The 22,544-nt window shown below is 46.7% G+C and overlaps 1 protein-coding gene and 1 long non-coding RNA gene across 3 annotated transcripts, besides 2 other annotated features; one reads left to right on the top strand and one right to left on the bottom strand.

Moving 5' to 3' along the window:
• Window positions 1-1,107: 1,107 nt before the first annotated feature.
• On the bottom strand, window positions 1,108-1,628 carry LOC105371434 (uncharacterized). Its single transcript, XR_922129.4, has 2 exons — window positions 1,440-1,628; window positions 1,108-1,305 (listed from the first exon to the last, which is right to left on the bottom strand). It is a non-coding gene; the product is annotated as an uncharacterized LOC105371434 (long non-coding RNA).
• Window positions 1,629-1,668: 40 nt separating this feature from the next.
• On the top strand, window positions 1,669-16,787 carry MRPS21 (mitochondrial ribosomal protein S21). 2 transcript variants are annotated; one of them, NM_031901.6, is made up of 3 exons: window positions 1,669-1,706; window positions 2,143-2,257; window positions 15,856-16,787. In NM_031901.6, exons 2-3 carry the CDS (start codon window positions 2,175-2,177, stop codon window positions 16,034-16,036), a joined length of 264 nt encoding a protein of 87 aa, NP_114107.2. In that variant the 5' UTR covers window positions 1,669-1,706; window positions 2,143-2,174; the 3' UTR covers window positions 16,037-16,787. The 2 variants fall into 2 exon arrangements, with proteins under 2 accessions (NP_114107.2, NP_061870.2); NM_018997.4 differs by having other exon boundaries at window positions 1,669-2,257.
• Window positions 1,957-2,016: an enhancer, noted in NCBI's record as "active region_1681". NCBI's record gives its function as "activates an Ori minimal core promoter by ATAC-STARR-seq in GM12878 lymphoblastoid cells {active_cell/tissue: GM12878}" and the evidence as "EXISTENCE:reporter gene assay evidence [ECO:0000049][PMID:35858748]".
• Window positions 4,850-5,407: an enhancer, noted in NCBI's record as "H3K4me1 hESC enhancer chr1:150269465-150270023 (GRCh37/hg19 assembly coordinates)". NCBI's record gives its function as "activates a minimal SCP1, AML or CMV promoter by ChIP-STARR-seq in naive H9 embryonic stem cells {active_cell/tissue: H9 hESC(naive)}" and the evidence as "EXISTENCE:reporter gene assay evidence [ECO:0000049][PMID:30033119]".
• Window positions 16,788-22,544: the final 5,757 nt, after the last annotated feature.

Consider the following 22,544-nt stretch of genomic DNA (forward strand, 5'->3'; position numbering starts at 1 on the left):
TGCTGTGGCATATTTTATTTATTATTTGTTTGTTTATTTATTTTTTGAAATGGAGTTTCACTCTTGTTGCCCAGGCTGGAGTGCAATGGTGCGATCTCGGCTCACTGCCACCTCCGCCTCCCAGGTTCATGTGATTCTCCTGCCTCAGCCTCCCAAGCAGCTGGGATTACAGGCATGTGGCACCACGCCTGGCTAATTTTGTATTTTTAGTAGAGACAGGGTTTCACCATGTTGGCCAGGCTGGTCTCAAACTCCTGACCTCAGGTGATCTACCCGCCTCAGCCTCCCAAAGTGCTGGGATTACAGGCGTGCGCCACCGCGCCTGGCCCTATTTATTTATTTATTCATTTTTAATTTTTTGAGACAGGGTCTCACTCTATTGCCCAGGCCAGGGTGCAGTGGTGTGATCAAAGCTCGCTGCAGCCTTGACCTTCCAGGCTCAGGTGATCCTCCCCCTCAGCCTCCCAAGTAGCTAGGACAACAGGCCATGCCACTACACCCGGCTAATTTCTATATTTTTTGTAAAGACGGAGTTTTGCTTTGTTGCCCAGGCTGGTCTCGAACTTCTGGGCTCAAGTGATCCGCCTGCCTTGGCCTCCCAAAGTGCTGGGATTACAGGTGTGAGCCACCGCGTCCAGCCCATATAATTTATTTTGCATTTATTATATACTACTTTGTTTTAGTATCTTTTATGTGGTCCTAGTGGTCCAGGAGGCACTAGAGTGGTATCAACAGTATCTGACACAGAGTAGTCATTCAGTGAAAGTTTGTTGACAAGCATAATAATGTCCCAATCTAGTTCTATTTCGTTACTTTGGACCTGGCTTACTCTGAGGTGGGCTTAAGTGTTAGTGTAAGTTATTAGCATCAACTGATGATGCACACGTCTGTGTCTGTGTCTGTGTGTGTGTGTGTGTGCGTGAGCGTGCGCGCGCACTCTCTCTCTAAGGGAGGTACGTTTTCCTACAGCCATTAGATGTTAACTTACGTGAATAACCATAAATGGATATGTACAGGTAGCATACAAATAGGAGGACGGGTGTCTCCACAGCGAAGAAGAAATTTAAAAGGAGGTTTTTCAGTAGGTCTCATTAGCACGAAAAGGCATAGAAGCTGACATAATTTTTTATTCTAAACCCTGCAGGTGTTTCCCATATATCTTTATTGATTTCACTTTATGTAGTTAAATTAGTGGGAAGATGATATAGGAAACTCACAGTATGTTTATTTCTTTTCCTTAGCACTTAGGCAGATGACGTGTATGAATCAATCTATTTTTCGTCCGGAGAGCAGATCTCAAAGAGTCTGTCCTTTCCAAAGAGAAAACAGGAAGCATCCTCAGGAAGCGCCTACTTCTCTTGTTTTCCATCGAGAAAGAGAAATGGCTCAAATATTTATCAAGGATTTCACAGGATTAAGGGGTATGAAATTGGGCTGACCTTCTCAGAGGCCGAAGGACTTCGACTCCATGAGAGGGCGAGAAACGTGTTTCGGGGGAATTTAAGTCAATGAGTATTTTGCTTTGTCAGGTGTAGAGTCCAGGCCCGGGGAAGAGAGGCAGTCAACAGAGGCCAGAAAGGACGTTGCTATGGTTTCCACGCACGTTGTCTCCCTCGGCCTGTTTCTTTGCGCGGCGCTGGCGATTCCGTAATTTCCGCTTCCGGTAGTGAGAACCCTTCCGGTGGGCTAGGTACTGAGCGCGCGAGGTGAGGAGTTGTGCAGGGTTTGGGGAAAGGAAGGCTGGCTTGGCGAGAGGGCAGGTTTGCGGGCTTTCGCCCCCTTTTCCAAAGACCAACAAAGAGTCCTTCCCCAACTCCCAACTCAACCCCTTTTGGAACTATGTGTGGTGGTTGGGACCCTGTGGCGCATCCTTGTCGCTCGTGTCCTTCTCATGCCCGGCGACGCGTCTTTGTGGTAACGCCCTGCTGCCATCTCTTTTCTTCTCTATGCGAGGATTTGGACTGGCAGTGAGAATAAGAGACAACGATTCACGTCTACTTTCTAGGATGACTTCCATGTGCTCCATCTCGCGCGTCCCTGAGCATGTTGAATTTCCAAATCCTAAATAAGCCGCGCGGTGTAGTTTGTATTATGTTGCGTTTCTCTTTCTGCTTTCCTCGCCCTTTCTCCATCATCCTTTAGGCTCTACAGAGTGAAGGTTTAAATCCAAGGTCATGGCAAAACATCTGAAGTTCATCGCCAGGACTGTGATGGTACAGGAAGGGAACGTGGAAAGCGCATACAGGACCCTAAACAGGTAACTGTTAAGGGACCAGAATCATGCCTAGACTCTCTGGGAAGTGCGGTGGTTATTCTCTCCCTTCCCCTTTCGTTGATTGTTCTCAAAACAGTGCCAGCCCAGGTGTTCACAGTCTCTTAAAACGTCTCAGCCCCTCAGTTTATTATCTTAAAAATGAAGTTCTGGGCCGGGCGCGGTGGCTCACGCCTGTAATCCCAGCACTTTGGGAGGCCGAGGCGGGTGGATCACATGCGGTCAGGAGTTTCAGACCAGCCTGGCCAACATGGTGAAACCGTGTCTCTACTAAAAATACAAAAATTAGCCGGGCGTGGTGGCAAACGCCTGTAATCTCAGCTACTCGAGAGCTGAGGCAGGAGAATCGCTTGAACCCGGGAGGCAGAGGTTGTAGTGAGCCAAGATCGAGCCACTTGCACTCCAGCCTGGGCAAGAGTGAGACTCTATCTCAAAAAAAAAGAAAAAAAGTTCTTCCTCAAACCTAACTGTATGAATTGTATTCAACAAGTAATCACCCCCCGCACCTCCCCGCTTTTAATTTTAATTTTAATTTTTTTTTTTTTTTTTGAGGCAGAGTCTCGCTCTGTCACCCAGGCTGGAGTGCAGCGGCACGATCTCGGCTCACTGCAAGCTCCGCTTCCTGGGTTCACGCCATTCTCCTGCCTCAGCCTCCTGAGCAGCCAGTACTACAGGCTCCCGCCACCACGCCCGGTTAATTTTTGTATTTATAGTAGAGATGGGGTTTCACCGTGTTGGCCAGGATGGTCTTGATCTCCTGACCTCAAGTGATCTGCCTGCCTCTGCCTCCCAAAGTGCTAGGATTACAGGCGTAAGCCACAGCGCCCGGCCCCGCTTTTTAAAAATTGAGACAGGGTCTTGCTGTGTCACTCAACAATCCTCCTGCCTCAGTCTCCTGACTAGCTGGGTCTAGTGACGCACGCCACCACCGCAGTTAATTTTTGTATTTTCTGTACAGAGGGAGTCTCGCCATGTTGCCCAAGCGTAATGACTCCTTTTATGAGGAACCTGAATTCTTTAGAAGACTTAAAAAAGAGCCCAAATGGAAAATCAAGATGTGAAGTTGCTAGGAAGCGGGAACGTAGTATGATAAATAGAAAGCTGAGGGAGTGATTGGTGTGGGACAAAGCTAAAGGAAAAGGTGAATTCAGATTGGCATCCTAGAGAAGCAGGCAAAAGATGGGAAAGCTCACTGGGTGGGATGACTCACACCTGTAATCCTAGCACTTTGGGAAGCCTAGTGGGGAGGATTGCTTGTTGCCAAGAGTTCAAGACCAATCTGGTAAACATAGCAAGACCCCATTTCTAAAAATATTAAGAAGAAAGGGAAAAAAAGAAAGATGGGAAAGCTTACAAGTTTTCAGGAAAGATACAGCATAAGGAAAAATACATAAATGGAAACAAACTAGCTGGGGTGGAGGAGCTTTATAGCTTCATTGAAAATTTTTGAATGCCAGGCTAAGAGATGTAGAAGAGCCCTAGTAATACTTTTTTTTTTTTTTTTTTAAAACGGAGTCTTGCTCTGTTGCCAGGCTGGAGCGCAGTGGTGCAGTCTCGGCTCACTGCAGCCTCCGCCTCCTGGGTTCAATTGACTCTTCTGCCTCAGTCTCCTGAGTAGCTGGGACTACAGGTGCCCACCACCACGCCTGGCTGATTTTTGTATTTTTAGTAGAGAGGGTTTCACCACGTTAGCCAAGATGGTCTCAATCTCTTGACCTCGTGATCCACCCGCCTTGGCCTCCCAAAGTGCTGGGATTACAGGCATGAGCCACTGCATCCGGCCCAGCCCTAGTAGTACTTTACCACTGAATTCTCAAGCAAAAAGTTCTTAACCTTCCCTTCTCACCAGTTGTGTGGATTTTGACTTTCTGGTATGACTCACGCGTCATTTTCTTTCCCCAATGTGAAGTAACATTTGGAGAAACAAACGCTTGTTGAGTTGAATTATCAAAGAATTGTAAGGAAGGGGCTCCTGTAGTGCTAGCTGCTCCAGAGGCTGAGGCAAGAGGATTGCTTGAACCCAGGAGTTCAAGACTGTAGTGTGAGTGCACTCTTGTTGTGCCTGTGAATAACCACTCCACTCTAACCTAGGAAGCATAGTGAGACCATGTCTCTTAAAAAAAATGTAGGAAAGATATTGCATGGGCTGCATTAAGGCCTTTAATGTGGTAGCTTTATTTCACAAGTAAGGGAAGCCTTGGAAGATCAGATTATCTTTATTGGGTTATGCAGTTATTGAATGGTGGAGAGGAGCCTAAAGCACATCTTTTTAGTGCAATGTTCTTTAATAATTATTACTAGTCTTACTAGAAATGGAAAGACTTATGGTGGTTCATTTTCCAATTTAGAATCCTTGTCTTGTCATTTCAGCAGGTGTCGCTTTAAAAAAAAAACCAGAATCCTCATCTGATTGGGTTTAAATATTGGTAGGGTTCTTGAGGACTGAGAGGGCAAAGGAAAGGGAACCTAGTTCTTAGCAAAGCAGAGAGTTCTAGGTGTGGAAGGCTGGATGGCAGAAGACCACAGTGAGGAAAAAAATGCTGTCAGCCGGGCGCGGTGGCTCACGCCTGTAATCCCAGCACTTTGGGAGGCCAAGGCGGGCGGATCACGAGGTCAGGACATCGAGACCATCCTGGCTAACACGGTGAAACCCCGTCTCTACTAAAAATACAAAAGATTAGCCGGGCGTGGTGGCACACACCTGTAGTCCCAGCTACTGAGGAGGCTGAGACAGGAGAATCGCTTGAACCCGGGAGGAGGAGGTTGCAGTGAGCCGAGAGCGTGCCACTACACTCCAGCCTGGGCAACAGAGCGAGACTCTGTCTACAAAAAAAAAAAGAAAAAATGCTGTCAGAAGCTGTGTAAATGAGAAGCAGTTGCAGGCTCAGAATGGTTTCTATGTCTTTTAAAAGGATCTGGTCTTAGGGTCAGGCGTGGTGGCTCATGCCTGTAATCCCAGCACTTTGGGAGGTTCAGGCGGGTGGATCACCTGAGGTCAGGAGTTCAATACCAGCCTGGCCAACATAGCGAAACCCTGTCTCTACTAAAAATACAAAATTAGCCATATGTGGTGGCAGGCGCCTGTAATCTCAGCTACTTGGGAGGCTGAGGCAGGAGAATCACTTGAACCTGGGAAATAGAGGCTGCAGTGAGCCAGAATCGTGCCACTGCATTCCAGTCTGGGCCACAGAGTAAGACTCAAAAAAAAAAATCTGGTCTGGGGTCAGCCACATCACTTAATTCTATGTGCATAACAATTATATCCTTGGGCTGAAGCTGTTCCCTCTACATTGTCACCTATGCTGAGAGTAAAGATAAGTACCAGGTTGTAAGGTATCCTGTTTCATTTTTCTCTGTTTCTCCTCATTTCTAACTCTCCTATTTCATACCTTCTGGTGGCATGTCTGAGAAGTATATTATGTCTAATGACCTTTCTCTGGCCCTACTTTGCTATCTTGGAAGTACAAAATGAACTTTTTTTTTTTTGAGACAGAGTTTCACTCTTATTGCCCAAGCTGGAGTGCAATGGTGCCATCTCGGCTCACCGCAACCTCTGCCGCCCATGTTCAAGCGTTTCTCCTGCCTCAGCCTCCTGAGTAGCTGGGATTACAGGCATGCGCCACCAAGCCCAGCTAATTTTGTATTTTTACTAGAGATGGGGTTTCTCCAGGTTAGTCAGGCTGGTCTCTAACTCCCAACCTCACATGATCCACCCGCCTTGGCCTCCCAAAGTGCTGGGATTACAGGCTTGAGCCACTGCACCTGGCCTAAAATGAACGTCTTTATAGGTAACATCCAGACCCTGCAGTGAGTTAGCTAGGGAGATGAATGTTGAATTTGGGAAAAGGCATGTATTACGTGTAACTTCACTCTTTTTTTCTGACTTCTCCCTGTAAATCTTCTTCTGTATGATTTATTTTGGTAGATTTAGATAGGTCTTCTGGCCATGGTTGTTGAGATGTTTGTTATTGAAAGATCAAAGGATAGCTGTTGCTTAATGGTAAAACAAATTTCCAACAGGCTCAGTTTTAGTTCCCTTATTCCTAAAGTATAGATAACACAAAAGCAAGAATTTTGTTTTTAGAAAATTAGCTACTTTGACAAAAAACAACAAAATTTGTGGTACAGTATTATTTATTGAACCACTTTTTTTTTGAGACGGAGTCTCCCTCTGTCGCCCAGGCTGGAGCGCAGTGGCGCAATCTCTGCTCACTGTGACCTCCGCCTCCCGAGTTCAAGCGATTCTCCTGCCTCAGCCTCCCGAGTAGCTGGGACTACAGGCGCATGCCACTACCCCGGCTAATTTTTTGTATTTTTAGTAGAGACGGGGTTTCACCATGTTAGCCAGAATGGTCTCGATCTCCTGACCTCGTGATCTGCCCACCTCAGCCTCCCAAAGTGCTGGGATTACAGGCGTGAGCCACCATGCCCAGCTGAACCACTTCTTACAGTTGTATCAAGAGAGTAGCGGCTGGGTGCAGTGCCTCAGTCTTGTATTCTCAGCAATTTGGGAGGCTAAGAATGGTGGATCACTTGAGGCCAGGAGTTCGAGACTAGCCTGGCCAACATGGCGAAACCCCGTCTTTACTAAAAATACAAAAATTAGCCATGCATGGTGGCACAGGTCTGTAATCCCAGCTACTCCGTAGGCTGAGGCAGAAGAGCCGCTTGAACCTGGGAGGCAGAGACTGCAGTGATGCCCCATATCATATATGGAATGCATCCCCATTTACACCTAAAATTTGAAACAGAATCTGAGAAACAAAATATTTCTAATCTCCTTCCTGATCCTCTTCACTGATACCAGGTTTGCAGAAAATATAAGGCCAGCTCTTATCTTTTGAGAGAAGACTCTTATTTCTTTGTCTAAGATTGTCTATACCCCTTTTTATCTGCCTCTTTTAAAAATCCTTGTCCAGCCACTATATTTTTAATTTAATCAACACTCAGTTTTTGCTTTTCCTGTTTTTTTTTCTGTTTTTTGTTTGTTTGTTTGTTTGTTTGTTTGAGACGATGTCTCGCTCTTGTCCCCCAAGCTGGAGTGCAGTGGCATGATCTCGGCTCACTGCAACCTCCGCCTCCCAGGTTCAAGTGATTCTCCTGCCTCAGCCCCCCGTGTAGCTGGGATTACAGGCACTTGCCACCACGCCTGGCTAGTTTTGGTATTTTTAGTAGAGACGGGGTTTCACCATGTTGGCCAGGCTGGTCTCGAACTCCTGACCTCAGGTGATCCACCCGCCTCTGTCTCCCAAAGTGCTGGGATTACAGGTGTGAGCCACCACACCCAGCCCACATACTACTTTTATGGTTCTCTTTTTGTTGGTGACTGGCATTTTACACAAACCTATTTCCTGGGTCGAAGTGTTAATATTAGAGAGCCGGAGAGTGGTCAGTGTGACACCCTGTGGTTTCAACCCTGGCTGCCTATTAGGATCACCTAGGGAACGAACCATCAAGAAAACAAAACTAATGCCAGGGCCCAATCTGAGATGAATCAGAATCTCCAGGGGTTGCAACCTGGATGGCAGCATTTTAAAAAACATACCATGAGATTTCACCAGGATTGAAAATTATTATAATAGACTTGTAGCCTCCTGGCTGGGCACAGTGACTCATGCCTGTAATCCCAGCACTTTGGGAGGCTGAGGGGGGCGGATCATTTGAGGTTAGGAGTTCAAGACCAGCCTGGCCAACATGGTAAAACCCCGTCTCTACTAAAAATATAAAAATTAGCCGGGTATGATGGTGCATACCTGTAATCCCAGCTATTCGGGAGGCTGAGGCAGGAGAATCGCTTGAACCTGGGAGCTGGAGGTTGCAGTGAGCCGAGATCGCGCCACTGCACTCCAGCCTGGGTGACAAAGTGAGACCCTGTCTCAAAAAAAAAAAGGCTTGTAGCCTCCTTAAGGACAGAAACCTATGCTTTTTCATTTGTGTATCTCTTGGATTTACCAAAGTGTCTGGCACATCCAAAGCTCTCATTAAATGTCTACTTAATGAACATAAATGTTCCTTTATCTTTTTTGTCACTTATTTAATGTTTGTCAAACTTTTTTACTGAAGTGTCGTTAACAGCAGAGGAGAGTGAATGAACTATAGGGGTTCTGCTACTATAAGCAAACATGGAATTTCTTTGAAGCTTCCCTAAATTAAAATGTAAGGTGAACTTCGTATTCGTTGCCATTGCATCTGTTTTATGGGTAACACCCCCACTCCTTCGAGTTAAAATTGGTGCCTCCAGGCAGATGCATCAAATTTGTCCAGAAACTTGTATCCTTTGGCATTCTGTTAATTACCCTGGTTAAGAAGCACAGTATTACCTTTTCTTCAGGGATTAAAACACCAAAGTAGGAGTAGGATTTGGAAAAAAGCAATTTACATTGCTTAAAAAGAAAAGAATTATATTCTTTTCTTTTTAAGAAAGAAGAGGAGTGGTTAGAAAAATAAATTTGGCCAGGCGCGGTGGCTCACCCCTGTAAGCTCAGCACTTTGGGAGGCCGAGGCGGGTGGATCATCTGAGGTCAGGAGTTCAAGACCAGCCTGGCCAACATGATGAAACCCTGTCTCTACTAAAAAAAATACAAAAATTGGCCGGGCGCGGTGGCTCATGCCTGTAATCCCAGCACTTTGGGAGGCTGAGGGGGGCGGATCACGAGGTCAGGAGATCGAGACCATCCTGGCTAACACAGTGAAACCCCGTCTCTACTAAAAATACAAAAAATTAGCTGGGCGCCGTGGCGGGCGCCTATAGTCCCAGCTACTCGGGAGGCTGAGGCAGGAGAATGACGTGAACCCGGGAGGCGGAGCTTGCAGTGAGCCAAGATGGCGCCATTGCACTCCAACCTGGGGGACGAGAGCGAGACTTCGTCTCAAAAGAAAAAAAATTAGCCGGACATGGTGGCAGGTGCCTGTAATCCCAGCTACTCAGGAGGCTGAGGCAGGAGAATCGCTTGAACCCAGGAGGCGGAGGTTCCAGTGAGCCGAGATCGCGCCATTCATTGCACTCCAGCCTGGGGGACGAGAGCGAGACTTCGTCTCAAAAAAGGAAAAGAAATTCAAGTCCCATAGACTCAGAGTCCCATAAATTGTATTATAGCTTCGCGGGGCAGGGGGGAAATGAACAAATATTTCAGTCTTAGAATAATTTTCTTTTTCCTTTCTTTTTTTTTTAATACGGAGTCTCTCTCTGTTGCCCAGACTGCGTGGTCTCGCCTCACTGCAACCTCTGTCTCCCGGGTTCAAGTGATTCTCCTGCCTCAGCCTCCCGAGTAGCTGGGATTACAGGCACCTGCCACCACGTCCGGCTAATTTTTTGTAGTAGAGACGGGGTTTCACGATGTTGGCCAGGCTGGTCTCAAACTCCTGACCTCATGATTGGCCCGCCCGGCCTCCCAAAGCGCTGGGATTACAGGGGTGAGCCACCGTGCCCGGCCTCTTAGAATAATTTTCTAGGTAAGGACTTTCAAGCTTGCATACGTGAGCAGACTGATTTTGGAGTGATCCAATCTTCTGTTTTCCTGCTGCCTGTTAAACACATTTTCTGACTGATGCACTTTTCTGTTTCTTCTTTTTCTCTGCTTTTCCCAAATGTCCTCTCTCTAGCCACTTTTTCTGTATATCTTTCTCACACTCCAGGCCTCTCCTGATCTCTTTCAGCTTTCTCATAGCTGGTAGTTTAAAAATAATTTGCTTGTTCTGTGGTCTAATTACAACAATAGGTAGGAGAGCAAATGAGTCTAGAGGGAGGTGATTAAAGCTTTACCATGTTTGGAGTACAGAGAGAGTCTTACAAAGGAAATAGCCTACGTGTCTGTCCAGTGAGGCCACCACAAAATGCCTGTTATATAACTGGGGGCCCTCATTGGTGCCCCGGGATGAGAAGGTGGAGAGTGGGGGTTGCTAGGAAGCCCTGCATGATTGGCTGGCCCCCAAGCAAAGAAAGGTGAGTACACTGGAAGCATGCCCTGTTGACTCCTTTTACTCCTAGTGGGCTACCTTCTGGGTCCATTGAGTCCTTCTGCATACACGTCTGTCCTGACGTAGACTGGCTACACTGACATGTGAGTCTGCCACCCGCACCTCCCCCCGCTCCAGGCAGCTTGGCTCCTTTTACATAATCATTTGAATTTCACTAAAACTGGCAGCTGGTTTCTCCTTCAGTATTAGGTTGCCAGGCGCCCGAACTCCAGGCTGATCTGTTTACTCTAAAGCTCTTGATGTACTAGTCCTTGAACTACTTTTGGAAGCAGAAGGAAGCATCATTAGTAACACCCCCTCTATTCTTGTGTTTTACAAAGCTTTTCTTGCATCCTTTTCTGTTAGAGGTAAAGTTGAGTAGATACCTCTACTATAGGGACTCTGGGGCATTTGAAGATAATCTGTGCCTTTTTTAGTATGACTAGAACGTGTCGGGTAAGGGAGGGAATCCTCACCTGGCATCTTGGAATTTATTTGGTCTGTGTTTTGGAAGTAAGTAGTACATCCAGGGAATGCCATTTACCAACCCCCATCATTATATTCTTTCTTTTCCCTTCACCATTCTTATGTTCTTTTGTTATTCTTTTTCCTTGTCTTGCCCTTTTGCCTGACAGTACAGGCATTTCCTTGGTAAGATGATCACCTTTGTTTTAGAAGCCTTTTGGAACTCCAGTAGGGTTCCTTGAGTCATACTCAACCCCTTCCTCCTCTTGCAGTGTTGTTTCATCCTACTTTTAAACTGTCTTTGTCATTCCAATAGGTTCGTCTTCCTAGGTCATATTTACTCAGGGTCTCTGTCGTTTTTATATTCTCTCAAATCCAGTCTCCTTGTACTTTTTACATTATATATCCAATCTTTTTCTTTCAGGGGCTTTTTTCTATATTTTCTCCAATATACTACTTTCTAGTCCAAAAAGCAACCTTCATTAGACAGTATTAAACACAAAGTCTCAGCAGAAATAAATGTTTACATGTTTAGATCATTCTTTTATCCAAGTGTCCCTTATCGGCTTCCATTTCCTCTTTACTCTGATTGAAGAGTCTAGCCCAGCTCTTCACTCCCTCTTTTACCCATGGATACTGCAACAGTTTGTCTTCTGAAATGGGTGGTTTTTGTTTGAGAAGCAGAATACTGTTGTAGAGCACTTTACTAAAGACCTGAATTCTGTTTATAGTTCCATTTTGTGATCTTGGGCGGGTCAGCCTCTCTGAACTTCAGTTTCCTCATCTATAAAAAGAGGACATTATTTGCCTAAACAATTTCATAGGAGTGTAGTTAGGATGATGGATATAAAAATGCTATCTAAACTCTAATATGCCATCGTAGTAAAGGTAATACTATTGAGGCTTTCTGAGCTATATCCCCAATAACTGTATATATTGTAAGGTCACTTAATCCCTTGTGCTATGGACATTTATTAGTCATCTAGAGGACTCATTTTTGGCATACATTTCCTAGTTGTTCTTTGCCAAGTATTTTGTTAGGTGCAAAAGTGAATACAGATTTGATCTCTAACCTTAGAAAAGACACAACCCAATGAGGGGTTCAATGTAATACTGTTTGATCAGTGCTATAAAAGAGACATCAGCCGGGCGTGGTGGCTCACGCCTGCAATCCCAGCACTTTGGGAGGCCGAGGTGGGTGGATCACCTGAGGTCAGGAGTTTGAGACCAGCCTGGCCAACATGGTGAAACCCTGTCTCTACTAAAAATGCAAAAATTATCCAGGTGTGGTGGTACGCCCCTGTAATCCCAGCTACTCAGGAGGCTGAGGCGGGAGAATTGCTTGAACCTGAGAGGTTGAGGCTGCAGTGAGCCAAGATGGTGACACTGCACTCCAGCCTGGGCAACAGAGCGAGGCCCTGCCTACAAAAAAAAAAAAATGGTGCCATGGTGTTGGTTGTCCCTGGACCATCAGCAGCAATATCAGCTGGGAATTGTTAGAAATGCAAATTCTTGGCCCCTACTCTAGGCCTACAGAATCAGAAACTGTGGCACAGCAATCTGTGGTGTTCTTTGAAATAGGGTTTCACAGCCAAGCGCAGTGGCTCATGCCTGTAATCCCAGCACTTTGGGAGGCCAAGGCAGGCAGATCATGAGGTCAGAAGTTCAAGACCAGCCTGACCAATATGGTGAAACTCCGTCTCTACTAAAAATACAAAAATTAGCTGGGCGTGGTGGTGCGTGTCTGTAGTCCCAGCTACTCGGGAGCCTGAGGCAAGAGAATCTCTTGAACCTGGGAGGCGGAGGTTGCAGTGAGCCGAGATCGTGCCACTGCAACTCCTGCCTGGGCAACAGAGCGAGACTCTGTCTCAAAAAAAAAAAAAAGGCCGGTTGCGGTGGCTCATGCCTGTAATCCCAGCACTTTGGGAGGCTGAGGCGGGTGGATCACCTGAGGTCAGGAGTTCGAGACCAGCCTGCCAACATGGCGAAACCTTATGTCTACTAAAAATAACAAAAATTAGCTGGTGCTTGTAATTCCGGCTACTTGGGAAGCTGAGGCAGGAGAATCGCTTGAACCCAGAAGGCGGAGGTTGCAGTGAGCCAAGATTGCGCCATTGCACTCCAGCCTGGGCAACAAGTGCGCAACTCCGTCTCAAAAGAAAGAAAGAAATAGGGTCTTGCTTGCCCAGGCTGGAGTGCAGTGCCACAATCATGGCTCACTGCAGTCTCAACCTCCTGGGATAAAGCATTTCTCCCATTCTCCCATGTCAGCCTCCCAAGTAGCTGGGAGTGCAGGTGTGTGTGCCACCATGTCTGGTTAATTTTTATTTTTTGTGGAGATGGGGTTCTCACTATGTTGCTCAGGCTAGTGTCAAACTCCTGGGCTCAAGTGATCCTCCCAGCTCGGCCTCCCAAAGTCCTGGGATTACAGGTGTGAGCCACCATGGCCAGCCAGCAATCCCTGTTTTAACAAGCTTTCCAGATGACTACTGCATGCCAAAGTTTGATTTCACCTGAACTAGTTTACAGATGTGATAACAATTGATTTGGGCCTTTGAGGAACAAGTAGGATTTCATCAGGAAGAAAAAGAAAAGAATGATATTCCAAGTAAAGGGAACATCATGAGCAAAGAAAAAAACAAGTATGTAGGATGCTTGGAGAACTGCATATACTTAAGTGTGACTAGAGCATAGGCATTATAGGGCACGTGTTTTGTTTTTGTTTTTTGAGATGGAGTCTCCATCTTTTGCCCAGCTGGAGTGCAGTGCCTTGATCTCGGCTCATTGCAACCTCCACCTCCCAGGTTCAAGCTATTCTCCTGCCTCCGCTTCCCGAGTAGCTGGGATTACAGGTGGGCACCACCATGCCCAGCTAATTTTTGTATTTTTAGTAGAGATGGGGTTTCACCATGTTGGCCAGGCTTGTCTCGAACTCCTGACCTCAAGTGATCAGTAGGGCAGGTTATTAAAAGATATATATATAGGGGGCAATTGTTTGGGCTTTGAGCTTAGACTAGTAGTTCCAAAATCTGTCTGTACATTGGAATCACCTTGGAAACTGAAAAACCTGCTCATGTCCCTTTCCCTCTCCTTTGTGATTTAATTGGACTGGGTGTGGCCCAGGGTTCGGAATGTTTAAAAGATCCCTGGGCAGTTCTGATGTGCAGATGATTCTGGGAACTTTAGTGGCTTAGGCCACTCTGTATATTAGGAAAGATTTTTTAGCACCAGAGTGACATGATCTGATTTATGTTTTAGGGCAATAATTGGTGTAGGAAAAGAGAGTGGAAATAGGGCAACCTACTTATTCACATTTCAGATGAGTTGTTCTTTAGGATCCCTTCACAACCACTTTCTTGTTCTCAAGTTCAGGTTTAATGCCTCCTGTGAGTTTGTTTTTGTTTTGTTTTTCCTTGAGACAAGAGTCTGTTGCCCAGGCTGGAGTGCAGTGGCACCATCTCGGCTCACTACAGCCTCCACCCCGAGTTCAAGGGATTCTCCTGCCTCAGCCTACTGAGTACAGGTGCCCACCACTACGCCTGGCTAATTTTTGTATTTTTAGTAGAGGTGGGGTTTCACCATGTTGGCCAGCCTGGTCTTGAACTCCTGACCTCAAGTGATCTTTTTGAGATGGAGTTTCACTCTTGTTGCCCAGGCTGGAGTGCAGTGGCGCAACCTTGGCTTACTGCAATCTCCGCCCCCAGGGTTCAAGCAATTCTCCTGCCTCAGCCTTCCGAGTAGCTGGGATTACAGGCATACACCACCATGCCCGGCTAATTTTGTATTTTTAGTAGAGACAGGGTTTCTCCATGTTGGTCAGGCTGGTCTCAAACTCCTGACCTCAGGTGATCCGCCCACCTCGGCCTCCCACAGTGCTGGAATTACAGGTGTGAGCCACCAGCCTGACAGGATGGAACTTTAAGTAAGAGAATCACCTTAAGAATCACCCCTAGTGATTCTGTTCTTACTGAAAATGGCTCTCCCCAGTTGAGGTCTCTGAAATGCCCCATTAGTTGAGAATCATTGCTGTAGGGAGACATGTTCTTCAGGTACTGTATCATATCCCTCAGGTGTGTTGTGGTAGAGTAGATTTGAGAACATAACTTTGACTATAAACTCTCCAAGAGCAAGGGCCATGTAATTAATTGCTTTTTTATTTCCCCAATTTTTTTTTTTTGAGACAAGAGTCTCACTCTGTTGCCCAGGCTGGAGTGCAGTGGTGCAATCTCAGCTCACTGCAACCTCCACCTCCTAGGTTCAAACACTTCTCCTGCCTGCCTCCTGAGTAGCTGGGAGGGACTATAGGCGCCCGCCATCATGCCCAGCTAATTTTTGTATTTTTAGTAGAGACGGGGTTTCACCATATTGGTCAGGCTGGTCTCGAACTCCCGACCTCAGGTGATCCACCTGCCTCGGCTTCCCGAAGTGCTAGGATTACAGGCATGAGTCACTGTGCCCAGTCCTTTTTTTTTTTTTTTTTTTTTTCCTTTGAGTCAAGGTGTCACTCTGTTGTCCAGGCTGGAATGCAGTGGTAGGATCTCAGCTCACTGCAGCCATGAACTCCCAGGTTCAATTGATCCTCCCACCTCAGCCTCCTGAGTAGAGGGGACTACAGGCATGTACCACCATGCCTGGTTAATGTTTGTATTATTTGCAGAGACGGGGTTTTGCCGTGTTGCCCATGCTGAACAATATTTTTTTTCTTTTTTGAGACAGGGTCTTATTCTGTCACCCAGGCTGGAGTACACTGGTGCAAACACAGCACACTGCAGCCTCAGTCTCCCCTGGGCTCAAGTGATGCTCCCACCTCAGCCTCGTGAGTCGCTAGCACTACAGACACATATTACGAAGCCTGGCTAATTATTTTTATTTTTTGTAGAAACAGGGTTTTGCCATGTTGCCTAGGCTGGTCTCAAACTCCTGGGCTCAATCTGCTCACCTTGGGCTCCCAGGGTGGTGGGATTACAGGCATGAGCCACTGCACCCGGCCCACAGATTCTTATTGAGGCCTTTGTAAGTAGGCAGTTAATGCTCTATTGCCACCATTTCCCACTGTATTTTTTATAAATACCAATTGTTTGGTCAATCGACTTCTATTTATGAAACTGGAAAAGAATAATGATGATCCCAAATGTCTAACCTCATTGCTTGCCTTTATACAGAATCCTCACTATGGATGGGCTCATTGAGGACATTAAGCATCGGCGGTATTATGAGAAGCCATGCTGCCGGCGACAGAGGGAAAGCTATGAAAGGTGCCGGCGGATCTACAACATGGAAATGGCTCGCAAGATCAACTTCTTGATGCGAAAGAATCGGGCAGATCCGTGGCAGGGCTGCTGAGGCCTGTGGGTGGGACACCCAGTGCGAAACCCTCATCCAGTTTTCTCTCCATCTCTTTTCTTTGTACAATCCCATTTCCTATTACCATTCTCTGCAATAAACTCAAATCACATGTCTGCAAGAAGGCCTCCAAATATAGAAACAATCCCATTAGTCAGCAGTGGACCCTGTCTTTTATTAAGTGAAAGAAGAAACTGAGTCTGAAAGTACTCTAGGAGTAGAATGGTATTTGCCAGGGACTGGAGGAGGGGGCAGTGAGGAGTTATTGTTTAATGGGTACAGAGTTTCAGTTTGGGCAGATGAAAAAGTTCAGGAGACGATGGCCTGGCATGGTGGCTCACGCCTGTTATCCCAACACTTTGGGAGGCTGAGGCGGGCGGCTCACTTGAGGCCAGGAGTTTGAGACCAGCTTGGCCAATGTGGTGAAACCCCATCTCTACTAAAAATACAAAAAAAAATTGGCCGGGCGTGGTGGTGCACGCCTGTAATCCCAGATACTTGGGTGGCTGAGGCAGGAGAATTGCTTGAACTGGGGAGGAAGAGGTTGCAGTGAGCCAAGATCATGCCACTGCACTCCAACCTGGGCGACAGAGTGAGACTCCATCTCAAAACAAAAAAACGGAGATGGATGATGAATGGTGATGGCGGTTGCTCAAAAAGTTGAATGTACTTAATGCCACTGAACTATACCCTTAAATGGTCACGATGGTAAATTTTGTGTTTTACTACAATAAAAACTTTTTTGAAAGTCCAGGAGAAGTAAGGAATTTTTTTTTCTTTTTTTTAAGAGGAAGTCTCGCTCTTGTCCCCCAGACTGGAGTGCAATGGTGCAGTCTAGGCTCACTGCAACCTCCGCCTCCTGGGTTCAAGTGATTCTCCTGCCTCAGCCTCCCCAGAAGCTGGGACTACAGGCACCTGCCACCACGCCCAGCTAATTTTTGTATTTTTAGTAGAGACGGGGTTTCACCATGTTGTCCAGGCTGGTCTCGAACTCCTGACCTCAGGTGATCCGCCCACCTCGGCCTCCCAAAGTGCTGGGATTATGGGCATGAGCCACCATACCTGGCTGGTAAATTTTTTTTTTTTTTTTGTAGATGGAGTCTCGCTCTGTTGCCCAGGCTGGAGGGCAGTGGGACAATCTCAGCTCACTGCAAGCTCCGCCGCCTGGGTTCACGCCATTCTCCTGCCTCAGCCTCCCCAGCAGCTGGGACTACAGGCACACGCCGCCACGCCCGGCTAATTTTTGTGTTTTTAGTAGAGATGGGGTTTATCTGTGTTAGCCAGGATAGTCTCGATCTCCTGGTCTCGTGATCCCCCTGCCTTGGCCTCCCAAAGTGTTGGGATTACAGGCGTGAGCCACTGCGCCCGGCCGGAAAATTTTTTTAATGTAGTGAAATATGTCTACCATTTCCTACCCAATTTTTTTGAATCCCCAAGCAAAATCTTACTGAGAAAGCATCTATTACTTTTTATTAAACTGTTCCATGTTAGGTAGAGAGGAGAAGATGCATGTATGTATTTGGAATAAATTCTGCTTCTGAAAACACCTATCAACCAGACTAGAGTGCTGGAATCCTTGCCCAAAGAAATTCTTAAATCTACCCTAATGTTCATTCCTGTTTTCTGTCCTTTTAGTTTTCCTAACAGAGACTAAGAGAGGGATGGTGGAGAAGAAATAAAGCAATAGATGGGTGGGACTCAGTAGATAGTAGGAAAGAGGGAATGGAGCGTTGAGAGAGAATGGCACAGAGCCAGAAATACCCACAAAGCAGTGCTTCTCAAAGTGTCAGATCAGCAGCATCAATTTCACCAGAGGGATTGCTTGAAATGCAAATTATGGGACCCTACTTTAGATCTTCGATATTGGAAATTGAGGTTGGAGCCCAGCAATCTATTTTCACAAGCCTTGCAGGTGATTCTGATGCCTGCTAGAGTTACAACCACTGCCCTTTGCAGTACTCAAAGAGACTTCAAGTGGAGGTTCCCACCATCACTGCCTCTACCCAGCAGTCACTCCTGATTATTTTACTCTTGACAGCTGCGGAAACTGACCACTGTGGGAAGACCAGCTGCTCTGCTTTTTCTCCTGCTGTTTCCTCCACCATTGGTTGGCTGACAGCCGTGTTGCTATTATTAAGAGTCGGTGCCAGGCCGGGTGCCATGGCTCACGCCTGTAATTTCAGCACTTTGGGAGGCTGAGGCGGGCGGATCACGAGGTCAGGAGTTTGAGACCAGCCTAGCCAACATGGTGAAACCCTGTCTCTACTAAAAATACAAAAAAATTAGCTGGGCGTGGTGGTAGGCGCCTGTAATCTCAGCTACCTGGGAGGCTGAGGCAGGAGAATCACTTGAACGCAGGAGGTGGAGGTTGCAGTGAGCCAAGATCGCGCCTGGCGACAGAGCAAGACTCGGTCTCTTTTAAAAGTTGGTGCTGGCCAGGCACAGTGGCTCACGCCTGTAATCCCAGCACTTTGGGAAGCCGAGGTGGGCGGATCACAAGGTCAGGCGATCGAGACCATCCTGGCTAACATGGTGAAACCCCGTCTCTACTGAAAATACAAAAAAGTTAGCGGGGCATGGTGGCGGGCGCCTGTAGTCCCAGCTATTTGGGAGTCTGAGGCAGGAGAATGGCGTGAACCCGGGAGGCAGAGCTTGCAATGAGCCGAAATCGCGCCACTGCACTCCAGCTTGGGCAACGGAGCGTCCCCAAAAAAAAAAAAGGAAAAAGAAATAGATCTGCTCCTTTCCCTCATTTTGGAGAAAATCTGTATACAGGCTGCCTTCAACTTTGTTCCCTTTATACAACCTAGTCTTAACAAACAAGATATGACACTTCTGAGTCACCTTTAAATCTGAATCTGAGGCCGGGCGCGGTGGCTCACGCCTGTAGTCCCAGCACTTTGGAAGGCCGAGGAGGATGGATCACGAGGTCAGGAGAGCAAGACCATCCTGGCTAACACGATGAAACTCCGTCACTACCTTTTTTTTTGTTTTTTGTAGACGGAGTCTCGCTCTATTGCCCAGGCTGGAGTGCAGCGGCGTGATCTCGGCTCACTGCAAGCTCCGCCTTCCGGGTTCACGCCATACTCCTGCCTCAACCTCCCGAGTAGCCAGGACTACAGGCGCCCGCCACCGCGCGTGGCTAATTTTTTTTTTTAATTTTAGTAGAGACGGGGTTTCACCGTGTTAGCCAGTATGGTCTTGATCTCCTGACCTCGTGATCCACCCGCCTCGGCCTCCCAAAGTGCTGGGATTACAGGCGTGAGCCACCGCGCCCGGGAGGCTGAGGCAGGAGAATGGCGTGAACCCCGGAGGCAGACCTTGCAGTGAGCCGAGATGGCGCCACTGCACTCCAGCCTGGGTGACAGAGCGAGACTCCGTCTCAAAAATAAATAAATAAAATAAAATAAATCTGAATTTGGTCTTTAGTACATTTTAATGATATTGAGCCATAATATAGTGTCATCTACCACAGTGGTAAGGCATGTTTGTGATAACAGAATCAGGCCTGTTACTTGGCATTATTCTCCTGGGGCTAAAGTTGCTTCTGAGCTCCCTCCAAAATACTAAGAGGTGGCTGAGATTTGAAATTTTCTTTGTCTCTAAAAATTATCCCCCGCTTGTTTTAATCTTCAGTCCTATTGCCCATGCTCCCCTAGAGCAATGAACAATGATGGGTTTTAGCAGCTAGCCAGTTGAGAGGCCTCATAAATGCGATAAGTGGCTGGATAAAGTTCCAATCTGCTTATGCTGTGATGATAGGGAGAAAAACTTTCCACTCCTTGCTCTGGGAAGCTAGAAGATAATTTGCATGGTAGTTTAATGAGTAGGGGTTGCACTAATCTTTTAATCCCTGCATTGATTTCAGAGGAGGGGTGGTTTGCTGTTTACCCAGTTACAGAATGATAGGTAAGTACCTCCTACCCTAAACTTGGGCACCTATGAAATCTCTTACCTGTTTAGTGAAGTGCCTCTGACAGGCCTGCTCCAATCATAATTTAAAGATCTCGTAATCTAGTGCTCTGGAATCAGCTACCCCTTTAAAATTGGGACTCTGTTGAGTAATTTGTGTGTGTGTGTGTGTGTGTGTGTGTGTGAGACGGAGTCTCGCTCTGTCGCCCAGGCTGGAGTGCAGTGGCATGATCTCCACTCACTGCAAGCTCCGCCTCCTGGGTTCACACCATTTTCCTGCCTCAGCCTCCCGAGTAGCTGGAACTACAGGTGCCTGCCACCATGCCCGGCTAATATTTTGTATTTTTAGTAGAGACGGGGTTTCACCATGTTAGCCAGGATGGTCTCGATCTCCTGACCTCGTGATCCGCACTCCTCGGCCTCCCAACGTGCTGGGATTACAGGCATGAGCCACTGTGTCCAGCTCTGTTGAGTAATTTTGACACTGCACTTTCAAGTTTTCAGAAGTGCACCACTTACAAAATAAGAGTTTGTATGTTAAGTGAGAATGCTAAGGAATAATCACTCACTGTATACTAACAAGGTTAAGGAATAGTGTTTACATAGGTAATTGAAGGGAAAAGGAAATGCTGGAACTTCCACTATGTGTCAGCTACCTTACATATATAATTTTTACTTAGTCAAAAAAAATCTGGATTCCATCATGATCTTGGTATCTTATTTAACATAAACCCTTGTGTCCCCTGTAAAATAAGGATAATGGGGCCGGGCATGGTAGCTCACGCCTGTAATCCCAGCACTTTGGGAGGCCGAGGCGAGCAGATCACAAGGTCAGGAGATCGAGACCATCCTGGCTAACACGGTGAAACCCCATCGCTACTAAAAATACAAAAAATTAGCCGGGCGTGGTGGCACACACCTGTAGTCCCAGCTACTGAGGAGGCTGAGACAGGAGAATCGCTTGACCCTGGGAGGTGGAGGTTGCATTGAGCCGAGATTGTGCCACTGCTCTCCAGCCTGTGACAGAGTGAGATTCCGTCTGAAAAATAATAATAATAATAATGATAATGGTATCTATAGTTTTTGTTTTATGTTTTATTTTTATTTTTATTTATTTTGAGACGGAGTTCCGCTCTTGTTGCTCAGGCTGGAGTGCAATGGTGATCTTGACTCACCGCAACCTCCGCCCCCTGCCTCAAGCCTCTCGAGTAGCTGGGATTAACAGGCATGCACCACCATGCCCGACTAATTTTGTATTTTTGGTAGAGACAGGGTTTCTCCATGTTAGTTAGGCTGGTCTCGAACTCCCGACCTCAAGTGATCCACCTGCCTCGGCCTCCCAAAGTATTGAGATTACAGGCATGAGCCAACTCACCAGGCCAGCATCTATAGGTTTTTAATGAGGATGAAATAATGGAATGCATGTCAAGTACTTAGCATAGTGTCTGGCACACAGAACACAATGGATGTGAGCAATTAATTATAGTCCCCTAGTTGTGCCAGCCAGACACCTGATTTTATTTATTTATTTATTTATTTATTTATTTATATTTATTTATTTTTTTTGAGACAGCATTTCACTCCTGTCACCCAGGCTGGAGTGTAATGGCTTGATCTTGGCTCACTGCAACCTCTGCCTCGCAGGCTCAAGTGATTGTCCTGCGTCAGCCTCCCAGGTAGCTGGGACTACAGGCGCACGCCACTGGACCTGGCTAATTTTTGTATTTTTTGTAGAGATGGGGTTTCACCATGTTGCCCAGGCTGGTCTCGAACTCCTGGGCTCTAGTGATCTGCCTGCCTCTGCCTCCCAAAGTGCTGTGATTACAGGCGTGAGCCACAGCGCCCAGCCCAGATACCTGATCCTTGATTCCTCCTCCCCATTCAGCCGTGACTAGCATGTGTTTAATCCCTTCTGGCTATCTCTATGATTAAACGCCACGACCTTACTCCCAGCTACCATCATGACTCTTCTGGATTACTACAACAGCTATTTGACTATCGGCTTACCTTAGTGTTGTCTGGCTTCAATCTATTCACGCTTTGGCCAGAGTGATTGTTCTAAAATGCAACTCTGATCCTTTCACTTTCCTGCTTAAACTGACCATTGGTTCCCATTGCTTTCAAAACAAAATCTAAACCACTTTAAACCACTTAGCATGGCATTTAAGGCTCTTTATGATTGAACCCTGCTTTTCTCTCTACCCATTTTTCCCCTGAAATGCACTTCTGGATCACAGCACATGCTGTTTTCTCTCCTCCCCAGTCCACCAGCATTCAGCTGGATTTTTTTTTCTCTCTCTTTTTGAGACAGGATCTTACTCTGTTGGTTAGGTTGGAGTACAGTACTATGATCATGGCTCACTGCAGCCTTGACCTCCTGGGCTCATGTGATTCTCCCACCTCAGCCTCCCCAAGTAGCTGGGACTATAGGCGCATGCCAACACACACAGCTAATTTTCGTATTTTTTGTAGAGATGAGGTTTTGCTATTTTACCCAGGCTGGTCTTGAACTCCTGGGCTCAAGTGATCCACCCACCTCTGTCTCCCAAAGTGTTGAGATTACAAATGTGAGACACCACGCTTGACCCTGGAATGT

The sequence above is a fragment of the Homo sapiens genome, chromosome 1 (assembly GCF_000001405.40).
Source record: "Homo sapiens chromosome 1, GRCh38.p14 Primary Assembly".
Lineage (NCBI taxonomy): Eukaryota > Metazoa > Chordata > Mammalia > Primates > Hominidae > Homo > Homo sapiens.

Excerpts from the sequence above, each read along its gene's own strand:
- MRPS21 (NM_018997.4), top strand. The coding sequence starts at position 2,175 with ATGGCAAAACATCTGAAGTTCATCGCCAGGACTGTGATGGTACAGGAA. Across the intron at positions 2,258-15,855 it reads GCATACAGGACCCTAAACAG|AATCCTCACTATGGATGGGC; the intron begins GTAACTGTTAAG and ends GCCTTTATACAG.